Source organism: Homo sapiens, chromosome 1, assembly GCF_000001405.40.
Source record: "Homo sapiens chromosome 1, GRCh38.p14 Primary Assembly".
Lineage (NCBI taxonomy): Eukaryota > Metazoa > Chordata > Mammalia > Primates > Hominidae > Homo > Homo sapiens.
Genome location: NC_000001.11, coordinates 192,661,418 through 192,673,631, shown reverse-complemented (window position 1 = coordinate 192,673,631; position 12,214 = coordinate 192,661,418). Strand labels below are relative to the sequence as shown.

The following is a 12,214-nucleotide window of genomic DNA, read 5'->3' as shown; positions in this document are numbered from 1 at the left end:
CTTCTTGCTGAGCTCATAATTTCTCTTTCAAATTGTTTCTCTTTTCCTCATTTTCCTAGCTCAGACTATCATTGTCTCTCATCTGGGCTTTTGTGATAACTCATAATACAGTTAAATTATATTGAACACAGAGTCAAGACTTTATATGCACTTTTTATATAAAGAAGCCCATGAGGTAAGAGCAATTAATGCTATTTTTATATATTATTTTACTGATGAAGAAAAAACAAAGTTCAGTGAGATTAAGCAGTTTTCTTAAATTCTCATAGCTGTTAAGTGTTAAAGCCAGGCTTTGAACTTAGATCTATCTGATTTCAAAGCCTCTACCCTCTTTTAAATATTTCGAATTGTTACAAGATTCTCCCTTCTCCAGCTCTTGTTCCAATTCACACTGCTTTCCCCTTTCCTCTGAGTGATCTCTTAATTATTCTTCAAGATTCATCTCAAACATAACCTCTTCTCTTTCCAAATTCCACTGGGTAGAGGTAAATGCTTCTGCTGAGATTCCACAGCAGTCTTTACACAGGTCTACCTTGACTACTATTGTTTTGTATTTTAATTATCAGCTTACATGCCCTTGAGAACAGAAACACCACCTAATTAATGTTTGTGTGTACAATATCTATACTCAGTAGGAGCTGGGTAGATTGTTATAAGGAATGCTTCTATAAATACTACTTAATGAGGAATGTAATACTTGCTCTTTTATTTTTATAGAAATCTTATTTTATTCTACTACAATGTATAATTATTAATTTAGAACACCTGATTGTTTAAACTAAGCCCTGTTTTGGTTTTCCATAAGCATCTTAGGGAGATTTTTATAAGCAACCCCTTTCCATTTGTTCCCCAAGTCCTGTTCAGTACCTGATAACCTCTAGTTTCCCTACTATCTTTGTTCACTGAGCCTACATATTTTCCTGTGCTCCCTATATTCCTGCATTCTATTTTTCCAGGTTTTGCTTTCTGCTAGGCAACGGCTAAAGTGTTAACACTAGTGTTTCACTTCTCATGATGCGGATTTTGATGCAATTTTTCACCTATGACAAGAGGTGAAAGTTGCAGCCCTACATGTGGTGAAAATATTTTTAGGCAGTGAGGTGAAGAAAATAATAATTTTCTTCAAATTGCAATGTTGTATGTCTTTGAAGAAAGCTTTATATATCTCTTTTTCACAGTAAATTCTTCTAAAATTCATAAAAAGTTCTTTGCAATTGATGAAATCATGGTGTGACTGATGAATTATAAATAGGGAAGTGTTCATATCTGGCAAGATGCTTGAATTCTGAATTGTACAAATCTCTATCACTATCTTATTTTGGAGAAGGTAAGATTTTATTTCTACACAGGGACAATGGAGGCTTATCTTGCACATTTCCAGAGTCTGGAAGTATATATAAAAAATTTTTTTAAAATCATAAATATATTCAGGTTCTGATCTTGGAAGTCAAAGAATATGATTTTAACTCAAAAATATTAAAGTACTAAGGATAAAACAAATATGTCAAAATGCATTAATATGAATATAGGCATGTAGCCATTTGATAACAATCATTTAAAATTGTTTTAATGAAATAAAATATTTAATAATTTAAAAAAAATCCCAAGGAAAATTAGCAATATTTAGAATATTATTAAGTTAAAATAATCTGAAACTATTTTAACTATTTGTAAAATGAAACACATACTTCCATACAGTATTCTTGGACAGACAGCACTTACGTGCAGATACAATTTAAGTTTAACTTCTCTGTTTCTAAGTCAAATACTTCAGAAGAACTCTTATAATTAGGGGTAAATGCAAAATATAATAAATAGATCATTATTAAACTCCTCATGAAAACTTCAATTTTTGGAGAAATTACTCTTGAAAATGAGTCCAAGTTACAGAAAAGAAAATGATGAACACGTTAGTAATGGGATGTAACAAAACAGGGATAGCACGTGGCTTACTCAATCATCTCATCCTACTTTATTTTATAGATGAGGAAGCTGAAGCCTACTGGTCCTAAAGGTACAAGAACATCAGGTGAATGAACAGATGCTAATCTAATTGCTTTGTACCTCAATCCAAAGCTTTTTGTTTCATGACACCACATGGCATCTTCTTTGTTCACCATGATGTGGAGGTGCTGAGGGAGCAGGACAGAAAGCCTGTATTTAGGAGGTAAAATCAGAATATTAAGCAAAACTGAAAACTCTAGACTTACTCTGTTTTGGAGTACAAATATCCATGTATTCAAGGGGAAAAATAAGTAGTAAAGAATGCTAATTATTCTGATATCATTTACTAGTTATGTCCGTATTAGGCTGATTTTGTATAATTTGAATGAGAAAGACCCATGGTGTTCTGAAAGTGCTTGAAGCATGTGTATTGTGGCCATGCATGTTGTATTAGTTAGTTTTCATGCTGCTGATAAAGACATATCTGAGACTGGGCAATTTACAAGAGAAATAGGTTTATTGGACTTACAGTTCCACGTGGCTGGGGAGGCCTTACAATCATGGTGGAAGGTGAAAGGCACGTCTCACATGGTGGCAGCAAGAGAGAGAATGAGAGCCAAGCAAAACAGGTTTCCCTGTATCAAACCATCAGATCTCATGAGACTTACTCACTACCATGAGAACAGTATGGGGGAACCCGCCCCCATGATTCACTTATCTCCCACCAGGTACCTCCCACAACATATGAGAATTATGGGAGTACAATTCAAGATGAGATTTGGGTGGGGACACAGAGCCAAACCATATGTGTAACATTTCCTACTTGCCCATATATTTATGTGTGTGTGTGTGTGTGTGTGTGTGTGTGTGTGTGTATAGATAGATAGATAGATACTCATTCACTGATGGAGTGAGATGAGGAGAATCTGAAATGTGGAAATACTTTTTTTTCTGCCTATAGTGGCTAGAAATCATCAAGTTTAGATATCTAGGACTTCAACCTGTATTTTTATACTGGTATTTTTAAGAGAAAATAAATAAAATCAAGTGGCTTAGATAAAATTGGACTACTGTGGTAACACCTTCCACAACTAACAACAGTTCACCTTAATCAATCATATACTTTTTAATGAAAATATTCTCTTTTACAGCTGATTCTCTATCTTGGAAATGAATCCCCCAATATTTATTGTGTGGAATATCACAAATAAAATTTCTCATATTTAGATCAATAATAATGGTAGTTTACTTTCAATATGGACAATTTGCCTATAATAATCCTTTTGCTTCTTAGTAGGAATTCTAGTTAATACTCATTTTCATATCATGTAGTTTGTAACCATTTCAAATTAGTAATGACATTTCAGTTGAATTTGAGAGCCAAGAAACATTTTTCATAGTAGAACTAAATACCTTCAACAAAAATTTTCTATATTTAATTCTTTGGAAAAATAATCTTAAATATTTTAGGTATTTTATTTTTCATCAAAAGTATAGAATATTTATCCATTTGTACAGAACATTTATCCTGTGCTATGTGCTGAATAAAGAAAATGAAAAGGATGTGAGTTTTTTCCTCTAAAATATTCTGACAAGTGCTAAGAATCTGCTATGATAATGATGTGAAAAGCTGTCTTTCTGCAATTGATAGAAATATTAAATGGAAGTCAATTAAAATTTAGAAGTTCAGCTTTTAGAAATTATTTTGAAAGAAAATTTGATAAGCACATTTATTCACATATTCATTCAACTCACCTTCCTGACTTAGGAAAAGAAAACCAAGAACTTTTTTGGTTGGAAAAGGAATTAGAAATTGTTAAAAAAAATCAAGGAAAATTTAATATATTTGTTAATAATGAAAACAACCAGAGTTATCACTGCTTTATTGATGAGATAACCGAGCATTGCTTTAAAGCCTGCTCTCCCTTCAACTAGCGAACCATACTCACTAACGTATATATTTTCCTGTCCCTATTTGGCTTGCATTGTCACACTCTTTCTGATATCAACAATATTTAGTAGAACTGATCTTTTGTTTGTCCAGTCTTTCTATGCATTGGATAGAAGATTTGCTCAGTTGTTAAAATTCAGATCATAATGCTCTATTTTTATACATGTATTATCCTGAAATTTTACATTTTTTGAGCAATCCAGGAATTGCTTTTTAAAAGTTGGCAGTGCTGAGTTACAGAGTAAAGGAGATCTGACACCAGATTTATTCATTTCTCACTGATGATGAATTGACTGATTCATTTATTTACTCATTCACTCATTCATTTATCTATTTTTTTGAGTGTCATACTTTCGATGTCCTCTACCTAGCAGTGAGGATATGATGCAAAATAAGATATGGCTGTAGTCTTAAGAAATTTATATTCTTCTGTTACCTTCTGGCCTCCACAGCAGTGAACAATATTACTCAGTGCTCCAAGAATCTTAATGATACCCTATTTTCTCCCATCCATTATAAATCATACAGGTTCTAACACTTTATACATATTATCACTAAAGTTTAAATACAGTAAAGATACAAATACAAAGTTTAAATACAGTGAAGTTTAAATACTGTAAAGAGTATTAATATTGCCCCGGCTTCCAAGACGGCCAAATCAGAACCACTCCGGTCTACAGCTCCCAGTGAGATCGACGCAGAAGATGGGTGATTTCTGCATTTCCAACTGAGGTACCTGGTTCATCTCATTGGGACTGTCTGGACAGTGGGTGCAGCCCATGGAGGGTGAGCTGAAGCAGGGTGGGTTGTCACCTCACCTGGGAAGTGCAAGGGGTTGGGGGATTTCCCTTTCCTAGCCAGGGGAAGTTGTGAGTAACTGTACTGGAGGAATGGTACACTCCTTCCCAAATACTGTGCTTTTCCCACGGTCTTAGCAACTGGCAGACCAGGAGATACCCTCCCGTGCCTGGCTTGGCAGGTCCCATGCTCACGGAGCCTTGCTTGCTGCTAGTGCAGCGGTCTGAGATCAACCTGGGACTCTGGAGCTTGGCAAGGGGTGGGGCATTCACCATTGCTGAGGCTTGAGTAGACAGTTATATGCTCACAGTGTAAACAAAGCAGCAGGGAAGCTTGAACTGGGTGGATCCCAGTGCAGCTCAGCAAGGCTTACTGCCTCTATAGATTCCACCTCTGGGGGCAGGGCATAGCTGAACAAAAGGCAGTAGACAGCTTCTGCAGACTTAAACATCCTGCCTGACAGCTCTGAAGAGAGAAGTGGCTCTCCCAGCATGGCGTTCAAGCTCTGATAATGGACAGACTGCCTCCTCAAGTTGGTCCCTGCCCTCCGTGTAGCCTGACTGGGAGACACCGCCCAGTAGGTGCTGACAGACACCTCATACAGGCAGGTGCCCCTTTGGGACGAAGCTTCCAGAGGTAGGATCAGGCAGCAATATTTGCTGTTCTGCAGCCTCCGCTGGTGATGCCAAGGCTAACAGGGTCTGCAGTGGACCTGCAGCAAACTCCAGCAGACCTGCAGCTGAGGGGCCTGTCAGAAGGAAAACTAAAAAACAGAAAAGAATAGCATCAACATCAACAAAAAGGACATCCACACCAAAACCATCCATAGGTTACCAATATCAAAGACCAAAAGTAGATAAAACCACAAAGATGGGGAGAAACCAGAGCAGAAAGGCTGAAAGTTCCAAAAACCAGAAAGCCTCTTCTCCTCCAAAGGAACCCAACTCCTCGGCAGCAAGGAACAAAACTGGATGGAGAATGAGTTTGACGAGTTGACAAAACTAAGCTTCAGAAGGTTAGTAATAACAAACTTCACCGAGCTAAAGAAGCATGTTCTAACCCATCGCAAGGAAGCTAAAAACCTTGATAAAAGGTTAGATGAATGGCTAACTAGAATAAACAGTGTAGAGAAGAGCTTAAATGACCTGATGGAGCTGAAAACCACAGTATGAGAACTTCATGAAACATACATAAGCTTCAATAGCTTATTCAGTCAAGTGGAAGAAAGGATATCAGTGATTGAAGATTAAATTAATAAAGTGAGAAGACAAGATTAGAGAAAAAAGAGTGAAAAGAAACAAAGTGTGCAAGAAATATGGACTATGTGAAAAGACCAAATCTACATTTGATTGGTGGACCTGAAAGTGATGGGGAGAATGGAACCAAGTTAGATAACACTCTTCAGGATATAATCCAGGAGAACCTCCCCAATCTAGCAAGGCAGGCCAACATTCAAATTCAGGAAATACAGAGAACACCACAAAGATATTCCTCCAGAAGAGCAACCCCAAGACACATAATTGTCAGATTCACCAAGGTTGAAATGAAGGAAAAAATATTAAAGGCAGCCAGAGAGAAAGGTTGGGTTACTCACAAAGGGAAGTCCATCAGACTAACAGTGGATCTCTTGGCAGAAACTTTACAAGCCAGAAGAGAGTGGGGGCCAATATTCAACATTCTCATAGAAAATAATTTTCAACCAGAGTTTTATATCCAGCCAAACTAAGCTTCATAAGTGAAGGAGAAATAAAATCCTTTACAGACAAGCAAATGCTGAGAGTGTTTTTCACCACCAGGCCGGCCTTACAAGAACTCCTGAAGGAAGCATTAAACATGCAAAGGAACAACCAGTACCAGCCACTGCAAAAATATGCCAAATTGTAAAGATCATTGACACTATGAAGAAACTGCATCAATTAACAGGCAAAATAACCAGCTAGGATCATAATGACAGGATCAAATTCACACATAACAATATTAACCTTAAATGTAAATGGGCTAAATGCCCCAATTAAAAGACACAGACTGGCAAATTGGATAAAGAGTCAGAACCCATTGGTGTGCTGTATTCAGGAGACCCATCTCACATGCAAAGATGACATAGGCTCAAAATAAAGGGATGGAGGAAGATCTATCAAGCAAATGGAAAGCAAAAAAATCAGGGGTTGCAATCCTGGTCTCTGATAAAACAGACTTTAAACCAACAAAGATCAAAAGAGACAAAGAAGGCCATTACATAATGGTAAAGGGATCAATTCAAGAAGAGCTAACTGTCCTAAATATATATGCACCCAATACAGGAGCACCCAGATTCATAAAGCAAGCCCTTAGAGACCTACAAAGAGACTTATTCTCCCACACAATAATAATGGGAGACTTTAACACCCCACTGTCAATATTAGATCAACAAGACAGAAAATTAACAAGGATATCCAGGACTTGAACTCAGCTCTGCACCAAGTGGACCTAATAGTCATCTACAGAACTCTCCACCCCAAATCAACAGACTATACATTCTTCTCAACACCACGTCACACTTATTCTAAAATTGACCACATAGTTGGAAGTAAAACACTCCTCAGCAAATATAAAAGAACAGAAATCACAGCAAACTGTCTCTCAGACCACAGTGCAATCAAACTAGAACTCAGGATTAAAAAACTCACTCAAAACCAACCACCTACATGGAAACTGAGCAACCTGCTCCTGAATGACTACTGGGTAAATAAAGAAATGAAGGCAGAAATAAATATGTTCTTTGAAAGCAATATGAGAACAAAGACACAGCATACCAGAATCTCTGGGACACATTTAAAACAGTGTGTGGAGGGAAATTTGTAGCACTAAATGCCCACAAGAGAAAGCAGGAAAGATCTAAAATCGACATCCTAACATCACAATTAAAAGAACTAGAGAAGCAAGAGCAAACAAATTCAAAAGCTAGCAGAAGACAAGAAATAACCAAGATCAGAGCAGAACTGAAGGAGATAGAGACATAAAAAACCCTTCAAAACATCAGTGAATCCAGAAGCTGGTTTTTTGAAAAGATCCACAAAATAAATAGACCACTAGCAAGACTAATAAGAAAAGAGAGAAGAATCAAATAGATGTAATAAAAAATGATAAAGGGGATATCACCAACAATCCCATAGAAATACATACTACCATCAGAGAATACTATAAACACCTCTACGCAAATGAACTAGAAAATCTAGAAGAAATGGATAAATTCCTGGACACATACACCCTCCCAAGACTAAACCAGGAAGAAGTTGAATCTCTGAATAGACCAATAACAGGTTCTGAAATTGAGGCAATAATTAATAGCCTGCCAACCAAAATAAGTCCATGACCAGATGGATTCACAGCCAAATTCTACCAGAGGTACATGGAGGAGCTGGTACCATTCCTTCTGAAACTATTCCAATCAATAGAAAAAGAGGTAATCCTCCCTAATTCATTATATGAGGCCAGCATCATCCTGATACCAAAGCCTGGCAGAGACACAACAAAAAAGAATTTTAGGCCAATATCCCTGATGAACATTGATGTAAAAATCCCCAATAAAATACTGGCAAACCGAATCCAGCAGCTCATCAAAAAGCTTATCCAGCATGATCAAGTTGGCTTCATCCCTGGGATGCAAGGCTGGTTCAACATATGCAAATCAATAAATGTAATCTATCACATAAACAGAATGAACAACAAAAACCACATGATTATCTCAATAGATGCAGTAAAGACCTTTGACAAAATTCAACAGCCTTTCATGCTAAAAACTCTCAATGAACTAGGTATTGATGGAACGTATCTCAAAATAATAAGAGCTATTTGTGACAAACCCATAGCCAATATCATACTGAATGGGAAAAAACTGGAAGCATTCCCTTTGAAAACCAGCACAAGACAAGGATGCCTTCTCTCCCCACTCCTATTTAACATAAGTGTTGGAAGTTCTGGCCATGGCAATCAGGCAAGAGAAAGAAATAAAGGGTATTCAATTAGGAAAAGAGGAAGTCAAATTGTCTCTGTTTGCAGATGACATGATTGTATATTTAGAAAACCCAATCGTCTCAGCCCAAAATCTCCTTAAGCTGATAAGTAACTTCAACAAAGTCTCGGGATACAAAATCAATGTGCCAAAATCACAAGCATTCCTATACACCAATAACAGACAAACAGAGAGCCAAATCATGAGTGAACTCCCATTCACAATTGCTTCAAAGAGAATAAAATACTTAGGAATTCAACTTACAAGGGACGTGAAGGACCTCTTCAAGGAGAACTACAAACCACTGCTCAACGAAATAAAACAGGACACAAACAAATGGAAGAACATTCCATGCTCATGGGTAGGAAGAATCAATATCACTAAAATGGCCATACTGCCCAAGGTAATTTATAGATTCAGTGCTATCCCCATCAAGCTTCCACTGGCTTTCTTCACAGAATTGGAAAAAAACTCCTTTAAATTTCATATGGAACCAAAAAAGAGCCCACATAGCCAAGACAATCCTAAGCCAAAAGAACAAAGCTGGAGGCATCACACTACCTGACTTCAAACTTTACTACAAGGCCACAGTAATCAAAACAGCATAGTACTGGTACCAAAACAGAGATATAGAGCAATGGAAGAGAACAGAGGCCTCATAAATAACACCATACATCTATAACCATCTGAGCTTTGACAAACCTTACAAAAACAAGCAATGGGGGAAGGATTCCCTATTTAATAAATGGTGCTGGGAAAACTGGGTAGCCATACATAGAAAGCTGAAACTGGATCCCTTGTTTACACCATATACAAAAATTAACTCAAGATGGATTAAAGACTTAAATGTAAGACCTAAAACCATAAAAACCTTAGAAGAAAACCCTGGCAATACCCTTCAGGACATAGTCATGGGCAAAGACTTCATGACTAAAACACCAAAAGCAACGGCAACAAAAGTCAAAATAGACAAATGGGATCTAATTAAACTAAAGAGCTTCTGCACAGCAAAAGAAACTATCAGCAGAGTGAACAGTCAACCTACAGAATGGGAGAAAATTTTTGCAATCTATCCATCTGACAAAGGGGCTAATATCCAGAATCTACGAAGAACTTAAACAAATTTACAAGAAAAAACAAACAACCCCACCTAAAAGTGGGCAAAGGATATGAACAGACACTTCTCAAAAGAAGACATTTATGCAGCTGACAGACATATTAAAAAATGCTCATCATCACTGGTCATCAGAGAAATGCAAATCAAAACCACAATTAGATACCATCTCACGCCAGTTAGAAGGGTGATCATTGAACGTCAGGAAACAACAGATGCTGGAGAGGATGGGTAGAAATAGGAATGCTTTTACACTGTTGGTGGGAGTGTAAATTAGTTCAACCATTGTGGAAGACAGTGTGGTGATTCCTCAAGGATCTAGAACTAGAAATACCATTTGACCCAGCAATCCCATTACTGGGTATATACCCAAAGGATTACAAATCATGCTGCTATAAAGACACATGCACACATATATTTATTGTGGCACTATTCACAATAGCAAAGACTTGGAACCAAGCCAAATGTCCATCAATAATAGACTGGATAAAGAAAATGTGGCACATATATACCATGGAATACTATGCAGCCATAAAAAGGATGAGTTCATGTCCTTTGCAGGGACATGGATGAAGATGGAAACTATCATTCTCAGCAAAATATCACAAGGACAGAAAACCAAAAACCGCATGTTCTCACTCATAAGTGGGAATTGATCAATGAGAACACATGGTCACATGGAGGGGAATATCACACACCAAGGCCTGTTGGGGGTGGGGCCTGGGGGAGGGATAGCATTAGGAGAAATACCTAATGTAAATGATGAGTTGATGGGTGCAGCAAACCAACATGGCACATATATACCTATGTAACAAACCTGCACATTGTGCACATGTACCCTAGAACTTAAAGTATAATAATAAAAAAATTAATATTTTATTCTCATGAAACTTTTACATCTTATAATGATAGGATAGTCTATGAAGGCTTCTTTCAACAGCTTTTGAGATATTGATATATAAAAATCGTGTATATTTAAGATGTACAAGTTGCTGTTTTGATATATGTATATATAGTGAAATGACCATCATAATTTAATTAACATATCTATCCCTCCACATAGTTACCATTTGTGTGTGTGCATATGTGTGTTGAGAAGATTTAAAATCTCTTCTCTTAGCAAATTTCAAGTATATAATACAGTATTGTTGACTGTTGTCACCATGCTGTACATTAGATCTCCAAAACCCATTCATCGTGCGTTACTAAAACTTTGTACCCCTTGACCAATATATCTTCATTTCCCTCTCCCTCCAGCCCTTGGCAACTGCCATCCTACTCTGCCTCCATGAGTTTGCCTCCTTAGATCCCACATACAATTTAGATCATGGTGTTTTTTTGTTTTTTTTTTTTTGTTTTTTTTTTTTTTTGAGACGGAGTCTTGCTCAGTCGCCCAGGCTGGAGTGCAATGGTGTGATCTTGGCTTGCTGCAACCTCCACCTCTCAGGTTCAAGCGATTCTCCTGCCCCAGCCTCCTGAGTAGCTGGGACTACAGGCACCCACCACCACGCCTGGCTAATTTTTGTATTTTTGATAGAGACGGGGTTTCACCATATTGGCCACGCTGGTCTCAAACTCCAGACCTTGTGATCTGCCCGCCTTGGCCTCCCAAAGTGCTGGGATTACAGGTGTGAGCCACCACGCCTGGCCCAGATCATGGTGTCTTTTGTGTCTTGCTTACTTGGCTTAGCAAAATGTCTTCCAGCTCCATCCATAGTAGCACAAATGGCAGAATTTCCTTCTTTTTAAGGCTGAATAATAATCCATTGAGTATGTGTGTATAACTTTTTCTTCATCCACTCATTTGCTGAAGGACATGTAGTTTGTGTCTAGTTCTTGGCTGTTATGAATAATGCTGCAGTGAATATGGGGGTATAGATATCTTTTTGAGATCTTGTTTTCAATTCCTTTGAATAAATATGAAAAAATGGGATTACTGGATCATATGGTAGTTTGATTTTTTGAGGAACCTCCATACTGGTTTCTACAATCTCTGAGGGCTTTTCTTGGAGCTAGAACACCAGCTTCAGCAGTGAATGGTGTGGGAAGGCCTAAGTTAAGGGAGCAAGTGGGAAGGCCAGAGATAGTTCCTGATTTACAAACATCTGAAGACATGATCTTAGAAGAGTGTTTTTGTGGCAAAATTCTGTTTTGAATATGTGGCATTGTATTACATTTATGAAATCAGAGGAAAGGCAATGGAATATCACACAAAACCCTTCAGATAATGAAGAACTCAGTAATTTAAAAGTACTTTCTGGCCGGGTGCGGTGGCTCACGCCTGTAATCCCAGCACTTTGGGAGGCTGAGGTGGGCAGATCATGAGGTCAAGAGATCGAGACCATCCTGGCCAACATGGTGAAACCCTGTCTCTACTAAAAATAGGAAAATTAGCTGGGCATGGTGGCACGCACCC

At 37.7% G+C, this 12,214-nt stretch overlaps 1 annotated feature.

Annotated features, from left to right (window-relative positions):
* Positions 4,874-5,375: an enhancer, noted in NCBI's record as "H3K27ac hESC enhancer chr1:192637387-192637888 (GRCh37/hg19 assembly coordinates)". NCBI's record gives its function as "activates a minimal SCP1, AML or CMV promoter by ChIP-STARR-seq in naive H9 embryonic stem cells {active_cell/tissue: H9 hESC(naive)}" and the evidence as "EXISTENCE:reporter gene assay evidence [ECO:0000049][PMID:30033119]".